Raw genomic sequence first — 21,963 nt, forward strand, 5'->3', positions numbered from 1 at the left:
ATTAGTGCCACCGCACTATAGCCTGGGTGACAGAGCAAAAGCCTGTCTCCAAAAAAATAAATAAATAAATAAAAGCTATAAATACTGCAAAGAGGCAAAACCTGCTGTTGTTTGCTGACAAGCTAATCATATCTAGCAAATCCAAGAAAAAAAAAACAGTAAAAAATGAATAAGAGAATTCAGTAATATAGTCAGAGATGAGGCCAACATATAAAAATCCATGTCTTTCTATATACACAAGAAATAACCATTTGAAAGAAGCTGTCCTATTTACAATAGCTAGAAAAACTGTGAAATATCTGGGGGCAGAGGTTGGAAGAAACAAAAATGCACACAAAACTTGTGAGAGGAAAACCAAACCTTTATTGGCAGGCACAAAATAAACTTTCTGAGTAAATGGAAAAACATTCTCTTCTTGAATGAGGAAATTAACATTGTAAAGATGTCAACGGTCTCCCAAAGTGATCGAGATGCGCCCTGTGCAGTGGAATCCCAAACTGTAATTGCATCTTTCACGGAATTTGACACACTGACTGAAATTCACCTGGAAAAGAACATGCTTAGTAAACATGGTTTCCTGAGGGGGAAAAAAAAAAGAAAATTGGTTTTGCAGACAAGGTTCAAGTTAGAGATCCCAGAAAGAAACGGATGTATCTCCATGCGGTGAGGTACGCTGGGAAGGGCATGTCCCGCGGAAAGAGCAGGGTGGACGATGGACCGTCTGGAAAACAGGCTGCCAGGGGACAGAATCAACACAGATTTCCAAGTCACAAAAACACGTAAATTCTGTGGATTAAAGAAAGATATCTAGAGATCTACAAACACAAATCTAAAGAATCCTTGATTTCACTGAAAATCAAAGATGTTGATGAGGGTAATCATGAGCTATTGTTTTTCACTCATAAAATTGGGGGTGAAAGACAAGGATTAACCTTTCTAGCGATGATAAAGGTGTAAAAAGTATTTGGCTGCGCGGCTGGTGGTGAATAATTTTTACAACCTTCTCAGAAAACAATATGGAAACGTCCAGCACAAGCCAGCAGAGAAAGCCTGTTTGAGGCCTCTGCTGTGGATAGGGACGCCTGCCTGAACACAGGGGAATCATGCGCATCCATGCTAGCTGCAGTCATTTTGGTAATAGAAAAAAAAAAAAAAAAGAATTAGAAGGGGAAGGAAAGAGAAGCACCTTAACTCTTCGCCGGCAGAGATCTTGTTACACAGCAGCATCGCCCCACAGGGCAGAGGCCTCTGCAGCCATCAAAGAAAATGAGATCGAGCTAAGTGGGCCAACGTGGAAAGCTCCCGGGACATGGTGTTATATGTAAAAAGCAAGTTGCAGACGACGCATGAAATATGTATGATTCCATTTGTGAAAAAGCAGCATCGCTAGAAAAAAACTGTATATTTTATTTCGTATGTACACACAGTGTGTAGATCCATGTAAAGAAAGCAGTCCAGACGGTGGGGCGGGGTTGGAGATGCAGCCAGCCCTGCTTTGTGTCTAGATACTCCGGCATGCTTGGCGCCCCCATGCCCGAGGTCATGTGCTCCTGCCATAATTTAAACAAATGCCTGAACAGCAAAATGAAATTAGAATAGGCAGCTAGACGTGGTCTGGAGCGCAAGAGGAAGGTGCGGTGCGGTGAGGTGAGAAGAGAGACCGCGCTAGACCAGGCGATGTCTTAGGGACGGGAGAGGGGTGAGGCCCACGGCGGTCCTGGGGAGCGGCCCACGACCGGCCCACGCAGAGCTTGTAGCCAGTGAACAGGAAGTATTGGCGAGAGGGACTGAGAAACCCAAGAGAGTGTGGGGTGAGGAAAAGGTCAAGGAAGGCCCAGGCTTCCAGGAAGGGCCTGGGCCGGGGCGGGGCGGGTGGTGGGAGGCAGTGGTTAGGACGGGCGGGGGTGGGGGTGGGGGTGGGGGTAGGGGTGGGGGTGCCACAGGAGGCCGGCGTGGCCTTGGAAGCCGCTCAGCCGCGCGGGGGAGCCCGGGGATCCGAGGAGCTGCGGAGGGAAGGGGAGGAGCAGGGCGTGGTTGGAAAGGCGGTGGGACAGGGAGGGCTGGGCTGTGCGGCTGTCCCGTCCTCGTGAAGAGGAGCGTTGGGAGGAGCCGGGAGAGACAAGGCTATGGGCGGCGGGCGGGGACGGCTGTCCCTCCCTCAAGGAGTGGAGTTAGCGAGGCTGCGCTGGGGTGCTCCGTTGCCGAGGATGGGCCGAGTTCGAGGCGGCAAAGGTGCGGGTGTGCAGGGGGGAGGCGGCGCCCTCCTCGCTGGGTCTGGGGTCCCGCAGCGCCTCGGGCCGGAGCAGTGAGCGAGCGTGGGTGGGAGCTGCGGCCTGGGTCCTTGAGCCCGGCTGCCCCGACGGCAGGTGCACCGGGGTTGCGGGGGACTCGGCGCATCTCCAGGGCGAGTGAGTCCAGGGCCTTCGGCCTACAGGCTGAGCAACGCGGACAACAGCGAGGGGGCTCCGTGGCACAGCTGGCGGGGTCACGGCGCACGCCTGGGCGCCCTGGAGCCCGGAGACTCAGCAGCCATCGCTCGGGGCTACCACGGCCCTCCAGGCTCCTGAGCCACCCGCACGGAGGACGAGCTGCGGAGCGCGGTGTGCGGATAGCCAAGCTCCTGCCGCCAAGGCCACCCCGAGCCCAGGCTGCCAGGGCGGCATCCACAGCCGGCGGCCCGCGGGCCTGGGCCTGAGACCCGCGCAGCAGCCCCGCCTGCCCTGCCGTGAGAGGGAAGTAGACCGCGCTTGGTTTCCGCAGGTTAGAGTCTCAGATGCATTGTTACAGCTGCACAAACTACCCTACCCCGACAGTGCGTGGGTGCCGGAGCCTTGGTCCATAAGGGAGCCTTGTGGGCAGTGGCTTAGGCAAGAGCCTGACTGGTGTCATCCTGTCCACTTGTTTACTAAAACCCTCTGCTGTGGTCATTCATTGCTGACCATTCACATAGGACAGACATATCTTCATGATTTTTGCCCATTCGCGAGGCCTATTCACATATCTTTTCCCCAAATATCTTCACCACCAATTTTTCCAATCGTTCTTTCCATGTCTCTGACCATCCAGCATAAACATTGAGCACAGCTGGCGAAATAGTCCATCACTGCACAACTGGCCACTGCTCCTTCTAAGCAAAGTGCACAGCCAGGTGCACTGCCTGCAGCTCTGCCCAGGAGGACTTCCCTTCCCCACTGTCTTTCAGGGACGTCCCAGGAAGGGGCTGTAGTTCTGCAGCATCCACTTTCAGGTGGTGCCTGCATATGGGGCAGAGCCGTCTGTAAACCAGGCCTGAGTCATCTCTTCCTCTGTCAGATATCATGGGGACCTCCCCAGGAGGTCACAGGCTCAGGCTGGGAGAGAGGGTCTCAGCTGAGAAAGGCGGTGGGGCAGGAGTGGGGACCATGGGCACTTGGGCCACTGCTTCATGTAACCTACTTGAGCATTCAGGGGCTGATTGGGCCTAATCACATACATACCACTTCCATTCGATGACAGAGTGTTGCTGTGCACACCTAACTGTATGGCTTGTTGGGTCAGATAACACCCTCTGACACCACCCTCTGACACATAGACGTCTCACCGATAAATGTAGAATAGTTGCTACTTCTTGCTCACTAAGTCCAATCAGCATGATGTCATCAATGTAATGCACCAGTGTGACATCTCATGGAAGGGAAAAGCAACCAAGATTCCTGCAGACTAAATTATAATGTAGGGCTGGAGAATTGATGGGACACTCCCTGAGGTGGGACAGTGAATGCGTATTGCTGGCCTTGCCAGCTGAAAGAAAACTGCTTCTGGTCAGCCTTCTGGACAGGGATGGACAAAAGGTATTTGCTAGATCAATAGCTGTGTACCAGGTAACAGAAGATGTGTTAATTTGCTCAAGCAATGAAACGACATCTGGTACAGCAGCTGAAATTGGAGTTACCACCTGGTTAAGCTTATGATATTTCAGTCATTCTTCAAGATCTATCTGTGTTCCCTACAGGCCAAATAGGAGAGTCAAATGGGAATGGGGTAGGAATCGCCAGCCCTACATCTTTCAAGTTCCTGAGGGTGGCATGAATCTCCACAGTCCTTCCAGGAATGTGGCATTGTTTTTGACTTACAGTAGTCACCCCTTATCCCTGGTTTCACTTTCCACATTTTAAGTTACCTGTTGCACAGTACAAGATATTTTGAGAGAGAGAAATCACATTCGCATAGCTTTTATTGCAGTATATTCTTCTAATTGTTTGATTTTATTATTGTTGATAGTCTACTGTGCCAAATTTATAAATTAAACTTTATCATCAGTATGTATGTATCAGAAAAAACATAGTATAGCTAGGCTTTGGTGGTTTATATGTCCATAGTTTCAGGCATCCACTGGGGTCTCAGAACACATCCCCTGCAGATAAAGGGGGGCTACTGCATTATTTTCCCAGGCTAAAGCAGTTCTAGTGGCTTCTGCTTGGTCTTCTTCACTGTAATAGTCCTTACTCCACAGGTCAGGTACCCAGTGTGTAGATGCTACCAGCTCCTCAGTATGCCTCTTCCAATTATGCATTCTGGAATGGGGAAATAACTACAGGATGGGTTTGGGGACCCACTTGACCCACTGTAAAATGAACCTGAGCTAAAACTCCATTGATCATTGAGCTCCATAAGCCCCTACTCTGCCTGGGTGGCCACAGTGACCTTTTCAATCTTCTGGAATCAATGTCAGTGCAGATCCAGTGTCCAGTAGTCCCTGAAAGGTCTGAGTCCCTGAAAAGGTAAGGTAGGTCCCTTTGGAGGAGGCTGGGGAAAAGATTAAGAGTATACATTTCGGGTAGTGTACCAGGGTTGTTTTCCAAGGCGACATTGTTGTCCCTTCATTCACGAGTTCCAAGTCTGTAAATTGGCTCAGGTCTGAGAATTGAGGGGCTGTAACTCTCTGCTTTGAGAGAATGATTTTATGATTTGAATTTGACTTCTGTTTTAGAGACTGGGTCTCATTATATCACCCAGGCTAGAGTGCAGTAATGTGATCATAGCTCACTGCAGCCTCAAATTCCCAGGCTCAACAGATCCCCCTGCCTCAACCTCCTGAGTCACTGGGACCACAGGCATGTGCTGCTATGCCCAGATTCGACTTAGACTTTTATTCACTTGATCTAAAACTTTTCTGCTTATACAGATCACGGCTTCTAATCAAATCCCCTTCCAGGAGCCCCATGATAACGGGCCAGAGCCATGAGTCTCATGAGCCAGGCTGTTCTGATTGCTGCTGTGCCACTCCTGCCCATTGCTATACCCGCACCCACCTCGCTGTGGCCCTGACAGCTGGATCCAGTTGCTTCCCTTGCACTTAGGTTTCCAGCTGAGTGGCTGTGGTTCCCACCGTAAGGTCTGACCTACAGAGAAGAGTTATGGCAGAGCTCTTCAAGGAAGCTGGGGCCCCCTCACACAGTTCTTTCTCAAGGTGTTAGTGAAAGGCTGTCTTCCAGACCCCCCAGCGTGGGTGAGTAGGTCTGAAATGACAAACCCACTCTAACACATCAGCCTCCCTAGCCCTTTAAGCTCCCTCTACATTAAACTTGGGGAGATTGGATCTTTCCAGTTTGCTCACAGCAGGGCAGACTATCTTTTGACCCCTGTTCAGCCATCCAACCAAACTTCGCCCTTTCTAACTCACTGAGCTGCAACTTTAAATCCACAATATCTGCTTACTGAGCCCATATCAATAAATTTGGCCTGATCCAACTTTATGTTCCTTCCACTACCATCTCACATCCTTAATATTCATTCTCACCTGTGTTCCCTGGATTTCCACTTGTATAAATTAGAAACCCATGTTGTTCTTTTGGAGTGCAACATACCTTCTTGTGGGTCACAATTTGTCCCTCACCTTCAGGGGCCTTCTGGGGTTTGGGTCTAGTTATAGGTCTAGAGGCAAAGTGGGGTGGTGAGGCTGGGTCCTGAAAAGAATCAGCATTGTCCCACTTTGCCACCACCTCAGAGGAAGATATGACTCAGGATGCGGGGGACTCCCACAAATCAGGTGGAAAGGCTATACCAGTATTGGCAGGGATGCTGCTGCCACTGGGGATGTGAAGGCCACTTTGTTTGAGGGTTGGGGGGACCTCTTCCACTGGCAAAGAATACATCAGAATTTAGGAGCTCGATACCCCCAGCTTCATCAGGGTCTTCCCACATGTCCCCATTCCAACTTACAGTATCCCATTCTTTCCCAATCCATTTCCCCACTTAAGAGTAGACATCCTAGGAGACTGGGAGCTCAACTTGCATTGAATTAATAATTTGGCCAATTGCTGGATGAGATCCTGAGTTTGATTTTCAGAAACTTCAGCCCTGTGCTTGTATGAAATAAGGCTCTTGGGGCACACATAGAAACTCTTAGGTCACTTTTGTGGCTCTTGAGCTGGGAATTTGAATCCCTGAGCTCATCTTTTTCTTTTACCACTTTGTGCAATGACATTAGAAGCAACAAATGTCATTATATTCCTCAGTTTTCCTAAAATGTTCAAAAGTATCATATACAGAGTCATGTAGCTCCTTGCTTCTTATAAGTGGTTTATTAGGAGGATCCAATGCAGATAGTTTGCATATCTCTATAGTTTATGCCATGGGTGATCAGTGCTCTCTTTACTACTGGAAGTAGAATCATTAGTGTCTTTACATATAGTCTGATTAAAGATCCAATTCCAGAAACTCCAGGAAGAATTCAGAAAACTCATCCTCAAAATTCTGGTCCTCTAGATCCACTCTTGGTACCAAAATCTATATTAGAGTTCTACAAAGAAACAGAATCAATAGAATATGAATATATATAAATATATATACATATATATATATAGAGAGAGAGAGAGAGATTTATTATAGGAGTTATGTAGTTACGGAGGACAAGAAGTCCCACAGTCTGCCATCTGCCAGCTAGAGACCCAGGAAAGTCAATGGTGTTATTCCATCTGAGTGCAAAGACTAGAGAACCAGAAGCACCAATGTTCAAGGGCAGGAGAAGATGGATGTCCCAGCTAAAGAAGAAAGTGAATTCACCCTTCCTCAGCCTTTTGTTCTATTCAAGCCCTCCATGGATTAAGTGATGCTTGCTCACTTTGAGGAGGGCAGGTCTGTACTCAGTCTACTGACTCAAATGTTAATCTCTTCCAGAGACACCCTCATAGACACATGCAGAAATGATGTTTTATCAGCTATCTAGGCAACCCTTAATGCAGTCAAGTTGACACCTAAAATTAAACATCACAAGCAGGGAAGATGGTGTGGGAGGTGAGGTGTGTCTGTGAGCAGAAGCTGGGTGGGTCTCTGCATGAACATGTAGGTACGGGTGCAAGCATGTGGGAGCTGTTGGTGGCAAAACTCAACAGAATCAACTCATATTTAGGAAGTGAATCAGATGTCCCATCCTCTGAGCCCTGTGACATTTCATGATCTGGAGCAATAAAAAACTCTCAGAGCAAGATGTATAATAAAAAGCTAAATTTTCAAGTATGGTTTTTGGAAGAATGTGACTTCTGACTTTTAACAAAAAGCAGAAACAAACACTTTCTTTCATACTTAGGAATTGTCTGCCAGGCTTCTGGAGGCACCTGGGCCGTGTGGGTTCACAGCGGTCATCCAGGGAATGGATGGACATGGTGAGTTTCTGAAGCACGGGCATCACCCTTAGGGTAGGGGGAGGGCTCCAACACCAAGGCCCCCAGCACACATTTCACAAGGAAAAATGACCGTGTCGTGCCTGTGTTGGTAGGTGATCAACTGTGCTTAACCGAGAAGGGAATTTTCTCTAGTTAGAGGCCTCACATTAAGCATGCATTGGCTTCATCTGGAGTGTGCAGAACAGAATCATTCTCTTCCCCATTCCTCACCAAGAACAGTAATTAGAATGCAAGTTCATCTCCATATAATGCATTATGACTTTAATATCAGTAAATGCTTCTTACATATTAGATGCAGTGAGGAAATATTAGTTGAAAATTCACAGACTGGTATGATCAGTTTCCTCTAGGATAAAATGTGATAAATGGGTTTTAATAAACTGAGGAGAATTATAGGCACCATCATCTTGGTTCCTGTCAATTTTACTTAGAGTAAAATGCCATTGCAATAATTAGTTGGTTTTTACTGTATTCATTAAAAGTTTTTCTAATGACCACTTGAGGAATAAGTAAAATTAATTTCTTTCTTGAACATCAAAGGAATTCATCAATCAAACAAAAAGCAAACTTCAGGGATTATGCGAGACAGGGTGAGGACCAGTGGTTTTCCGTGCCCACTGTGGGGACAGCGCTTTCCCGCCGTATGTCATTGGCATGGAAGCTCGAGGCCATTCCCCCGAGGTGTGCTGATGGAGAGGGATGCAGGCCCCGGGTGGAGGCCCTGGCCGTCCTTCTCAGGTGCCATTGAGCTGTGACTCCAAGGCCTCCTCCTCCAGGCAGCTTTCCTTGACTGCTCCAACTTCAGGGCTCTCTCCTGCCTGGCCCACACACTTGAACTAGGGCTCCTCAGTCTCAGAGGCTGAGGCCAGTTTCTCTCTCTGCCTGTGGCCCCTCAGATTCCAGCATAGGGCCAGGCACTCTAGAGGGCTCAAGGGCCACTACCCCCGTCCTAGCTCCTGCAGTGCTCGGCCAAGCTCAGCCCTTGTTCAGCACACCAGCCCTGTGAGCCACGCTGTCCCTGGAGCCTGGCTCGGAGGATGCGAGGAGGATTCTCCAGCAGGCAAGCATGGTCAGAGGGGCCACTGGGTCGCCAGATGGAGTCCCTGTGCCGATCCCACAGTACACGGAGAGGAGCAGAAAAGCGGGTGAGGCCTGGGGAGATGACATCACATGGCTGGGGCTACTCAGTGGTGAAGGGAGAGACAAAGCCGGACACCGCTCTGGCTACTGGGGGGAGCAATGGTCCTTCCCACCTCTTGTGCCAGGTACAGCACTGGGGCCTGGGACCAGGACGAGCCTCAGAACACGGCTGGTGAGCACACCCACCTCCACCTGCACCCATCCCCGCTCCCCACACACACCACACACACACTCATCACACACACACTCATCACACAACCACACACTCATCACACACGCTCATCACACACACCACACACTCATCACACACATTTTACACACACCACACACACTCGTCACACACATGCTCATCACACACTCATCACACACCACACGCTCATAATACTCATCACACACATTCATTACACACATACACCACACACATGCTCATCACACACATTCTCATCACACACACCATACGCACTCATCACACACACTCATCACACACATGCTCATCACACATGCATCACATGCTCATAACACACTCATCACACACATGCACCACACACATGCTCATCACACACATATCACACACAGCACACACACTCATCACACACGCTCATCACACACTGATCACAGACACACGCTCATCACACACCACACACACAGTCATACAAACTCATCACACACACCACACATATACTCATCACTCATGCTCATCACACACATTCATCAAACACTACACACATGTTCACACACTCATCACATGCACACCACACACTCATCACACACATTCATCACATACACCATACACACATTCATCACACACGGCACACACATGCTCATCACACACACACCATGCACACTCATCACACTCACACACACATCACACACGATCACAGACATCACACACACCACACACATGCTCATTATGCACACTCGTCACACGCACACCACACACAGTCATCACACACACATCCCAGACACCACACACACCACACCATATATACACTCAACCATCACACGCACACACACCACACACACACACCTCATCACGCATACACCTGCACACAGAGCCACACACACTGGGCCATCACACAGACACCATGCACCACACACACACACACTCATCACACACAAACCCAATCACCTCACACACCCATCCACCCCCATCACAGCCCCCACCTCTGCTGAATGGAGCCCCACCATCCTTCAATGACCAGCTGGCACCTCGTCCTTGACGTGCCCCATCGCACTTCCTTCTCCCGCCCACGAGGACCTCGGTAATGTCGCCCCTGAAACTGCTGCGGAACCTGGAGCCCACTGTAACCCAGAATTGGAATCCCAGCTCAGCCCCTGCACACCTGATTGCCCGGAGAAATGCCTTATTCCTGACAGCCTCTTGGTTCTTTTCCGTCTCCGGTTAGGTGAGAAGGTCAATCTGGCCCTGCGGGTTATGTTGGGGGTTACATGAGAACCTCATTGGCATGAAGAGGCCAGGCAGGTCCTCCGACAGTGCCACAGCCCCAGGCTTGTGCCGCCAAATCACGGAGGCCTTCCGGGCCCTGAACACGAACCGGACGGGGCCTTCCCGCATTACTACCCGAATGACACTGCTGGGGGGACCGCTCTCTGGATGCCATTGTGGCCACGTGTCGGGACGGTCGGCTGCTTGACTCCACGACTTAAAGCTAGATTTGGCCTTTTAAGCCTCTGTCTCAGTGCCCTCGGGTCCCTTCTGCAGCTCACCTACCTGTCCCTCGGCCTCTGGGGTGGGCTGGCAGGGCTCGTTCTGGGACCTACGTGGGGTGGCAGCAATGGCTGTCATGGTGCAGAGCCGGCTTCTCGGAGTGCCTGGTCTGGGGATCCCCAGGGAAGGCACTGAAGCTGTCTCCTAGGCTCCCGGGCCTGTGAGGCCCAGCCAGCTCCACCCCTGCCCCACCCACCCCAAGCCCCACAGGGGTCCCCTACCTGGCAGCTCAAGCCCAGCCCCCTTTCCTGGTACCCTGAGAGGCCCCACCACCACCTCGTGCCAGTCAAGGGTGATGTGTGGGCCGCTGGGCCTTTGATCCCTGTCAGGGTCACTCAGAGAAGCCTGGGTGAACATGAAAGTTCGATGCTAAGCCACATCCAAGCCAAGACTCAGGAACAAGCAGGGACCTTGCCTGTAGTGTCCCCAACTCCTGAGCAGCTCTCCAGCTTCTGGATCCCCTGGCTCTTTTTGGCTGAGGGGGCTCCTCTGTGTAACTCGGCCAGGCCCTCTTTCCAGGCTTTTATTCTTCCTGCAGCCAGAGAGGGGGGCAGAGGGAGCCTCTGGTGCCAGCTCTGAGGCCTCTCTTGAAGCCCAGCCTGAAGGTGTCTGTCCCCACCTGCTGCTACCCCCACCCTGAGATGGGGGCTTAGAACCTTTGCCCTGGTGGCTTGCCCTGCTGGGACCCCTTCTTCTAATCTCAGAATGACCGACCCCTCGCCTCCCTCACGTCGCTGTTTCAGAGCTACTTTCTCACCCAGATCCCCGACCTGGTGCTCCTAGTTTCCCCACCCACCTGTGCTACGTGTTCCCAGGTGTCTGCCACCTGCAGCAGGCTGCCCAGTCATTCCTCCCTCCCCGTGTGCTTTCATCATCGAGCCCCTTCTGGCCCCATCCTCCAGCTCCCGCCGTGTTGCTCAGAGCAGCTCACGGTGCACGGCGACTCCGGGGAATGGGGTTCCCACAGCTCCCCGGCTTCCATAAAGGCCACGGCGGGCTCTGCAGGGCAAGCTGGCCTCTGCGATCACTGCGCAGTGACCCCTCACAAGTAGCATTTTTGCACTTGGGAGTCTACACGTTTTTTCATTTTAAAAGGAGTTTGTCCCTGCTGTTTGAGAAATATGCCCAGGAACACAGCCCTTCTCAGAGAGTCTGGTTACTTAAAAGGAAAGCTCTTGATTACATAGGGGAGTTCACCGTGGTGCAATGTTGACGGAGGCATGGCCAGCACAGGGCAGGAGCTGGGGGACTGACACCTCTGAGGACAGGTAGACACTCATCATAGCAGCAACACACTGCTTGCACCTGCAGAGGCCACAGGCTCAGCAGAGCTGCCCTGGCGATGCTGGTGATTTCAGGAGGTCTCTCTAGAGTGCCGGGAGATGCTGCACCCTCAGAAGTGGCCGCCAGGAGTGGCTCTGGCAGATTGAGATGGTGATTTAGCTGATCATGCCGCCGTCCGTGTTCACTCTCCATCAGAAGCCACACCTCACTCTCTTAGAGCGAGGGAGAGACACACTCAAGCTGGGGGCAAATGGCATCTGCAGAGCCAGATCCAGGGGCCAGGAGGATCGGGGACTCCCCGGGAGGAGTCTCCATGCCACGTGAGTCAATCAGGGAACCCTAATTGGAAAGCAGTAATACAAAGTAATTGAGTTTAATACATAATTTAGATGGTTACTCGTTAAGCTAATGCCTCCCGCTTAGGTGTGGGGAGAAAATTATCTAGTAGACGGGGAAGATTTCATTTGTTTTTATAATGGTATGCTCGCCAATTGACTTTAGTAAGAGCAGTTTGTTAAATCAGATTTTGAATTGGTGCATAGATTTGAAGTTCATAAGTTAGTTTTTGATGTGATATACTTAGCGCCTCCCTTCTTCCCTTAAAGTGGCTGGATTTATTCTCCCATGAGGCTGTGCGCTCATTGTTGTCCTGCATTATGGAAATTACATCAGTTCTCCGTGGTGTCTTCATGAGAGGCAATTTTACTCCTGACTTCTACCTGTTTTTTTTTTTTTTAATTTAGGAAGGGACATTAAAGAGACTCTGCTTGCTTCTTTGCGGGGCCTTTTTCCTCTTGAAAACAGTCCCAGGGCTGCAAACAAATGCTTTGGTTAAATATCAGAAAGGAACTTACTAACAACTCCTTACTAGGGTCCAACCGTCATTCATTAACCTGTCTGATTTTCTCAGCAATCCTGTGAAGTCAAGCGGCCGCTAGGAACCCAGCTCCTGTGTGTACACATCGAGGCCGTGGGCCTGGTCACGATCGGTAGCTGGGTGCTGGCCTGGCAGTGGGGACCAGGCCACACCCACAAAGCAGGTCCGCCTGGGCCTGGACCCAAGTTCATCTGGCCAGCCCAGTGATGGCGACCCTGACTCAGTTTCCCTATCAACAAAATAGGAATAAGATACTGAGTACCTAAAGGGTTTTAGGATGGAAGGAGGCGATGCCTGCCCACGGCACGTAACAGAGCCAGTGCCAAGAGCTGAGCTGTGGGCACTGCAACTACCCCAGTAGAATGGCTCCTGGACCCCTCCCCGAACCAGCTCCCCCTCCTCCAGCAGCCATACCACCAGGCCGACAGCATCTGACCCATAGGGCCCCACCCTCACGCCTGCTTCTCACCAGCTTTGGGGACTCCAGTGGGCATCCCTGTTCTCCAGGCCTCAGCATCCTCAGCTATGAAACAGGCTGCTGAGGCCTCCCTTGGGCAACCAGCATCCCGGCCGCAGGCAGAGGGGAATCTTGCTGACAGGAGGCAGGAGACCACCCCAGGAACCAGGGTTTGCCCGGTCTCCTCTTGGGGCAGCTATCCAGGCAGAACCTCAGCCCTCAGATAGCAGGATCACGGCGAAAACTAAGTCATCATGTGTCTGAAATTGGTGGGTTCTTGGTCTCACTGACTTCAAAAACAAAGCCGCAGACCCTCCCAGTAAGTGTTACAATTCTTAAAGACGGTGTGTCCAGAGTTTGTTCCTTCTGACATTAGGATGCATTTGGAGCTTTTTCCGTTGGTGGATTGCTGGTCTGGCTAGCCTCAAGAGTGAAGCTGCAGACCTTGCAGTGAGTGTTACAGCTCATAGACACAGCACGGACTCAGTGAGCAGCAACAAGATTTATTGCAAAGAACAAAAGAACAGAGCTTCCACACTGTGGAAGGCTATCTGAGCAGCTTGCCACTGTTGGCTAGGGCAGCCTGCTTTTATTCCTTTATCTGACCCCACCCACATCTTGCTGATTGGCCCATTTTACAGAGAGCTGATTGGTCCGTTTTGACAGGGTGCTGATTGGTGCATTTACAATCCCTGAGCTAGACACAGAGCGCTGACTGGTGTATTTACAATCCTCTAGCTAGAGGTAAAAGTTCTCCAAGCCCCGACCAGATAAGCTAGATACAGAGTGCTGATTGGTGTATCCACAAACCCCAAGCTAGACACAGAGTGCTGATTGGTGCATATACAATCCTCCGGCTAGACATAAAAGTACTCCAAGTCCCCACCCCACTCAGGAGCCCAGCTGGCTTCTCCTAGTGGATCCCGTGCCAGGGCCATAGGCGGAGCTGCCCACCAGTCCAGTGCTATGTGCCTGCACTCCTCAGTCCTTGGGTGGTCAATGGGACCAGGCACTATAGAACAAGGGGCGGTGCCCGTGGGGGAGGCTTGGGCCACACGGGAGCCCAGGAGTTGCGGCGGGGGCGGTGTTGCTTGGGCATGGGGGTGCTGCAGGTCCCAAGCCCTGCAGCATGGGAAGGCGGCTGAGGTTCGGCGAGAATTCAACCACAGCGCGGGTGGGCCGTCAGTGCTGAGGGACCCGGCGCACCCTCCTCAGCTGCTGGTCTGGGTGCTAAGCCCCTTACTGCCTGGGGCCGGCGGCACCAGCCGGCTGCTGGGAGTGTGGGGCCCGCTGAGCCCGCGCCCACCAGGAACTCATGCTGGCCTGCGAGCACTGTGCACAACCTCGGTTCCCACCTGTGCCTTTTTCTCCACACCTCCCAGCAAGCAGAGGGAGCTGGCTCTGGCCTCAGCCAGACCAGAGAGGGGCTCCCACAGTGCAGCGGCAGGCTGAAGGGCTCCTCAAGCGTGGCCAGAGTGGACTCCATGGCCTGAGGAGTTGCCGAGAGTGAGCGAGGGCTGCTAGCACTTTGTCACTTCTCAATCAGGACCCCAGGCCTGAAGGTCATCCCTGCCTGGTTCCTGCAGCAGCCTCAGTGACAGGTGCTGGGGAAGGCCCTGATGCAGGCAGCCTTTATCTTGGCCTCCCTTGGACCCCCAGCCCCTCCAGCTCCAGTCACTGTGTTCCAATAGAGACCCCCCAGGGCACTGCAGGGAGTGCTTTCCACAGCCCCAGCTGCACCCCACTTCCAGCTTGCCTCTGGAAACAGCCACGAATGGCAGGGTGGCACCAGAAGGTAAGCCTTTAGGGAGAATGAACACAGGTCTCCACCCTCAGACAAACACAGGCCTCCACCCTCAGACAAACACAGGCCTCCACCCTCAGACGAACACAGGTCTCCACCCTCAGACGAACACAGGCCTCCACCCTCAGACGAACACAGGCCTCCACCCTCAGATGAACACAGGCCTCCACCCTCACATGAACACAGGCCTCCACCCTCAGAAACAGAAGCTCCACAGAGCCCCCAAGGGACCCTGGGGCACCCTGGAAGCATCCAATGTGCACTGGAGTCACCTCAAGAGCCATGGGGACTTGGAGCCGCTTGATTCTGGGAAAGCTCTCCCCGATGGAACATTGGAATAAATGTGTGTAGCTGTGAAACCCCCCTTTGCATAAAATCAAAAAGAGAGCCTGTGTAAAACAGATTTCTAAATACCCAAGACCTTAAGACACAGCCTCTCCTCCTGGGCACCTCCACAGCCTCTTCCTGCCCTTCTTGCCTCCAAGCCGGTGCAGCTCCTTCTAAAACATCTTGGTGCACCCAGGGTCCCCAGAGGAAGGCGGGAGCCCACGGGAGACACGTGGACAGGAGTCAGCCCCTCCACCAGCCTGCCGGGAGGCAGATGGTCGGGAAAGGGGTGCCCTACCACTCTACTACAGAAGAATCTGTTACCATGGAAGCATCCGGAGCAATAAGGAGGAGGTGACTTTGCTCCCCAGGAAGTGGGGCCCTCTGCCCCAGGGATGGGTGCGCTCGTTTGCTAGGAGGGCCGTTCAGACTGAGGCACCTGGGGTGGGGGGTGCAAATCCTGGTCTTGTCCCCAAGGGCCCTGGGCATGGATGCCTTCAGCAAACTCTCCCCAAGACCCAGGCATGGGGCGAGGCAGGACCTGTCCTGGAGCTCCCAGGCTGGGGCAGCAGGGAGGGCCAAGGCGAGGGGCCCTGGTGTGTGGGAACTGCCCCAATCACCCCCCAGTCCCTGACCTGAAGCTGCCCCTGGGGCTGAGGAGCCTCACTCTGTCCCTGGGCCAGGGTCCCGGGCTCCCCAGCCTGTGGAGTGAGAGCCGCAGGGCAGGGATGGTCAAGCACCACCACCCATGGCTGTGGCCCCAGCCCCATCGCCTCAGCCTCCAGAGCCCCCAAGCCTTCACCCAGCCTTATGGGCCCCGCTGCCCACACCCTGGTTCATGGATTTGAGCCAAGCTCACCCGTCTGCCCAGTGGCTTTGGATTCAAGAGTGTCCTTGGCTCCCCCTGTCCCCCAGCCATGTCTCATAGTCCCCTGGGGTAGGCTGAAGGTCTCTGAGGGAAACCCGCTTTCACTGTGTGGAGCACAGGCCCTGGCCCACTGCGGGCCCACAGGACTTTCTAGGAGGAGGAAACGCCTTCTTTCTTGGCTTCTCGTATGCTCCCGTGTGGGCCATGGGTGCGTGTGGCTGGCGCCCAATGTCAGTTCCTTTCATTCACTTCCCTCTAAGCACCTCCGTGGATGAGCAGCCACCGTCCTGGACACACACAAAGTCTCAGCTGGCGTGTGGCAGGCTGTGGGGAGCTCAGCCCCTCCACTCAGACGTGGTGGCCGTGGCCACTGTCTCGAACAAAAGGAAGAGCTTGTTTACAAATTGTTCATTGAAAATTGAGTTGCAAACATTGGCATCAGGCCTCGCCTGCCAGGCCACCTGGATTGGAGGGTAACTTATGAAGATTGCTTTACCTGGGGGCATGCTGGTCTATGCCTGTGAGTAATTCACACCAGGCTCATTTCAGATGCAGTCAAAGACCCCCATATTTCACCACAACAATGTAATCACAGAGCCACGTTAAAAAGTCATTACTGTTTAGAATCCAGCTTGGTTTGAAAAACACTTACTATAAAATTCAACAGCCTTTGTAAATTACCAAAAGGTTTACTTAAGAATCCTAGGTGCCGTGATTTAGACCGGGAACTTACCACTTTATTAATTCTGTGGGATTTTGTCGGTCCCTGCATTTATAAGGCATGATTAGTGAGTGATGAGATAATAAACTCCTCCGTGCTGGTTCGGAAATAATGATGAGTTGAGTTTGCATCCTCAAATTTCTCATGCAAACCACTCCTGCTCCAAAGAGTCCCAGATGCAACTTTGGGTGGTTTTGCAGGCAGTATGGCCATCATCTCCCAAGGGGAGAGAGCACAGGGGGAGCTGGCTCCTCCGCTCACCTCTTTGTGGGATCCCGGCAGGCCTGCCCACCGCATCCCAGGAGAGCAGCCATGGAGCCCGATTCTGTTTCCAGGCCAGCTCGAAGGGTGCTGGGAAGCACTGGCAGAGCTCCTGCAGATGCAGATGCTCCTCTGCCTCTTTCGTGGCAGTCCAGGGACCAGATGTGTGTCTGCACAAGCCCTCATCACTTACACGTGGTTGAACAGGCAGGACTTGGTGAATTCCTTCTCAGTTTTGTCCTGAGAGGCAGACAGCGTGCCCCTGGCAGCCTTGAAATGAGGGGTCATTTGGGGATCCTGAAAGCTGAGGTTCTAGCCCAGGAAGTGCCCCAGAGCCCGGCCATCCTGACACACTGACTCTCCTTCCATGCTGGGAGACAGCAGCTCTGCCCTGCCCACCTGCCCAGAAGTGGCCAGCTGGCTTTTTGCCAGGTTCTGCCCTCTGCAGCCCCAGAGCTACACCTGTCCTTTCTTAGAAGCTGCCAATGGCCATGAGTGTCCAGGACACTCTGGGAAGGACTGTAGTAAAATAGTCAATGTGTTTAATCCATGTTTCCCACTGGCCCACCCATGCCTTTGACCCACAGGACAGTGGCCACGCATGTGCTTGGGAAAACCACCATAACAGGTCCAGACAAGAGTGCTGGCCTGAGCATGGGTCACGCTAACGTGGGTGGCTCAATTAAGGAACAGGGATGGACTTCCTGTCCTGTCGCCCCCACACACTCCTGCTTCTTCTAGTGGCCATTTCTGTGTGAGGCTGGAGCACAGTGGAAGGTCTGTGAACCTGTATTAAGCAAAATAGAAACTAAATGTGGACTTGGACTGAAAGGAAATTGAGTTAGACAATGAAAATGGATGGGAATGGAATGGAATTCGGATTTGAACTGAATGGAATTGAATTGGAAGTGGATTAAAATGGAATTGAACTATAATCTAAACCCCAGTAGGGCAGAAAAAAATGGACAGGCTGAGCCAGGGGAGCTGCCCTCACCCCATCTGTTCCCTGCCCTGGGGAACCCTCTGGTCAATACTGCTAATAGGAACTGAAAATTAAAATGGTGCTGATGGATTTTCTTTAATATGCACAGACGCATCTCAGAGTATTTCTGTAAAAGCAGTGACCGAGCCTGTAGAGGTCATGAGGCACCTGGGCCAAGCCCCGAGATGCTCCCAGAAACAGCACTTGAGTCGTGCACTTGAAATTCAAAGCGCTGTCCACCTTTGACAGAGCAAGCTCCTCTTGTCCGGCCACGTACAGTCCCTGAGCCACAGAAGAGGCCCCCAGAAGCCTCCTCCAGCAGACAGGAATGAGGAGTCACTGCCCGTGGGGAGGGTGCGCGGCGGCCTGCAGCCTGAGGAACACACGTGACATGGAACAGCAAGGATTTTCCACCACGGGGTTGCTCCGTCTGTGCAGGGACCCAAGGGTGCCAAGAACACTGAAGACTTCAAGGGCCTGGCATCAAACACTGCTCTGGGGGGTAAACAGACACCTGCTGAGAGCAAAGGGAGGGCCCCCTAGAGAGCAAGAAGACTCAGCCCTCCAGCGCCTGCTGGAACGTGGAGCTGCGAGGCCACTCATCAAGAAACGGAGCAGCGTCTGGAAGTGGGAATGGCCCTGAGACGACAGCAGCAAGAACACAGAGAATTTTGTCCCGCAACCTCAAAGAACTCAGTCCTGGTCATGGCACTTGTCACCAGTGAGATCTGGTCTTATTTTTACAGGAAATAAACACAGTCTATGAGAATTTTAGCAGGTCCATGGCCTTTCACCCAGCATCCCTCGGCCTGCTTCTCTTGTGTGAGAACATTCTCTTAATCAGCACCACACCATCAGCACGTTCAGGAGGCTTACAGGACCCTGTTCTGCCATCTCTCACGGTGTGGTGTTGGTCAAGAAAGTGTTCCCGGAGCAAAGCGTGCTCAGCTGACACCCGGACTGGTGGCTTTCTCTGCAACAGGGACTGTCTTCATTCTCCTGCGTCTTTTGGGCTGGATGGTTGGTCCAGCATCCACTCCACATTTCCCTGGTTTCAAGTTCTTTCCTGTGTTGAGAGGGAGAATCCAGGAAGGACCCCCAGGCCCCATCCCCTGGATGACTCCAGTGAGGTTGGCAACGGGAGGAGCCAGGTGAAATTTGGAAGATGAGGGGGACCCAGGACCTTTCCACCAGCTGGTGGCTTCTCCAGGTTTTCCCCCCATTCCCCCTTCACCACTACAGATGGGCTCGAGATTTTTGGCAGTTTTCTGGGTAACCCCTGAGGATCCCTGCCACAGTGATTCAGGCTGGGCCCATCCCGGCTTTCTTTCCAGCCCTTCCCACCTCACCTCCCTTCACTGGACCCTCTGCTCTACTGCTTGGAGCCCTCCATTTCCCAGCCCCGCCCAAACCCATCCATGCTTGAATTATTTTCCTATTTTTTTGTTGTTCTTCTTTCTTCTTTTTGTTTTCTTTGGAGGCAGAAACAGAAAGATGCCTCTTCTCCCTAAGCGCCTTTATCTCCATGCTCCTCTGTTCTCCCTGTGGTTCCTAGGCCACGCCACTGCATAAGGTTGCCACTCTGATGTTTCCCAAAGCTTGAGGCTCCCTTTCCCTACTGGGCTTCCAGCTCCCCAGGAAGCTCACTCCCTACCCATAGCTCCCCCGCACGTCCTGGGTGGCCCTGATGTCCCCGCTCAAACACCCATGGAGATGAACTGTTCCAGCTCTAGCGAGAGCTCCAGGTCCACACCTTGGCTGGAGAGGACCGGAGCCTCCTCTCATCCCCCAGCCAAGTAGGCGCCTTTCTCTTCCCAGGCCCGCCAAGCCCCCTCCAGCCAGCGCTGCATTGGCCACTCCTGCTGCCAGCACCAAGCTGGCGAGGCTCTGAGCGCCGGCCCTGCTGTCCTGGGTCCTGGGTCCACCCCTGCAGAGCAAGCCCACCCATCCAGTCCCCGCCGCACCACCAGGCACAGCCCTCCACAGCCCTCAGCAGTACAATCTGAAATCTTCGGCACTTGTTCTTCCTGGCTGTTTGCCTCTCTCCCCGCGGGGAGGCGCCTCTGAGTCCCCAGGGCCTGACTCTCACAGTGCTCAGTGATTATTTGTTGAATGAATAAATGTCCTTGACACCCCATCCAGCAGTCTCCCCTGCTTGCTTCTGAGCTGGTTTCTCTCTTTCACGACTGTCCTGACTCCGCTGGCTCACTTTCCCACCCTATTCTGCGACCCTATCATCTTTTGTTTTCTTGTATTTCTTCTTAGGTTTTGTTTTTCTTCATGATCTGTGTTCTTTGTCCCAATGTTTTATTATGGGATAGTTCCAACATTAGGGACAAATTACATAGGGTAATATGAACCCACCACCTGGACTGGACAAATATTAGCATTCTGCCATATTCGCTTTAGGTAATCATTTTTAGAAGTGAAACATTATGCATAGACCCCTGGTATATCATTCACCAATCCCATTTTCCTCTCCCCTCGACAGCCTTCTCAATCATGTTTGATATCTTTACCACAATCTATCCTGTTGTTTAATAAAGATATGTTGTAATACTTTACACAAATGGTATCCCACGGTGCATATCATGTGTGCCCTTTGTTTCTTTTTTAACTCAACATTACATTTTCAGATTGATCTGCGTCTGTGCAGGACCAACTGTTGCAGATGCCTCTGTCTTACTAATTTCTGTGAGTTCTTTACACACGCTGGATGATGAACACTGGTCTGTCATGTGTAAGCAGACCAACTACTGGATAGTACTTTGTACACATATGCCATGGATGTATAGCCTGTGTTCACTCGCCAGCCCTCATTGTTCTGATGGGTCACTGTCATAAGGGGGGCAGTGGACACATTCCTGGGGAGACCTTCTTGTGCAAACATGCAACAAGGTCTCCAGTCTAGAGAGAGGGACTTGCCAGGTGGAGGAACATGCCTGGTTCCAGCTTCACTAGGAGTAGCTAAATGGCTCTCCAAAGGGTGGAGCCAACGAACCTTCCCTTTAGCATGAGCCTAGCGCTCCCTTGCCCACTGCCAGCTTTGTTACTCTTAGATCCTTAATCTCTGTTAATCTGATGACTATAAAGCAAAAGGTTACTTTAATTTTCATTTTCCTGGTAACTGGGGAGAGGCTGCATCTTTTCAGGTCATTGCGTGTCTCGTTTCCTCTTCTGATAATTGCGAGTTTGTATCACTTGCCTGGTTTTCACTAAGTTCGTTATACAGTAAACATGCATATGTAAACGTATATATCTTTACTAAAACAATGGGATACATTGTGGTAAAGATATCAAACATGATTGATAAGGCTGTCAAGGAGAGAAGATAATGGGATTGGTAACTGACATACCAGGGCTCCACTCTATTCATAAATGTTTCACTTCTATTTGTCTTTTTGATTTATGTGAGCTCTTTTTATGAGATGGATAACCATCATCTCTCTGTTTTGTTTATAGCAAATATTTCCTCCTGAGTGTGGCTGGTCTTTTGGCTTTCAGCTTTGTGGCACCTCTTGTTGTATAGAAGCTATTAATCATAACATAGTCAGCTTTATCAAACTTCAGTTTTATGTGGTTTATGTTTGTCTGTCTTGCTGGAGAAACTTTTATGGGCCAGGTGCAGTGGCTCACGCCTGTAATTCCAGCACTTTGGGATGCTGAGGCAGGTGGATCACTTGAAGTCAGGAGTTCAAGACCAGCCTGGCCAACATGGCGAAACCCATCTCTACTAAAAATACAAAAATTAGCCTGCTGTGGTGGCGTGTGCCTGTAATCCCAGCTAGTCAGGATGCTGAGGCAGGAGAATCACTTGAACCTGGGAAGTGAAGGTTGCAGTGAGCCACT

General features: G+C 51.8%; 1 non-coding gene across 11 annotated transcripts; it reads left to right on the forward strand.

Moving 5' to 3' along the window:
- Positions 1-2,115: 2,115 nt before the first annotated feature.
- Positions 2,116-19,804, forward strand: LOC124903230 (collagen alpha-1(III) chain-like). 11 transcript variants are annotated; one of them, XR_007063898.1, is made up of 4 exons: positions 2,116-2,760; positions 7,568-7,643; positions 8,618-8,809; positions 8,930-19,804. It is a non-coding gene; the product is annotated as a collagen alpha-1(III) chain-like (transcript). The 11 variants fall into 11 exon arrangements; XR_007063903.1 differs by having other exon boundaries at positions 9,962-19,804; XR_007063906.1 differs by having other exon boundaries at positions 2,116-2,232.
- Positions 19,805-21,963: the final 2,159 nt, after the last annotated feature.

Source organism: Homo sapiens, chromosome 13 (assembly GCF_000001405.40).
Source record: "Homo sapiens chromosome 13, GRCh38.p14 Primary Assembly".
NCBI classification, from domain to species: domain Eukaryota; kingdom Metazoa; phylum Chordata; class Mammalia; order Primates; family Hominidae; genus Homo; species Homo sapiens.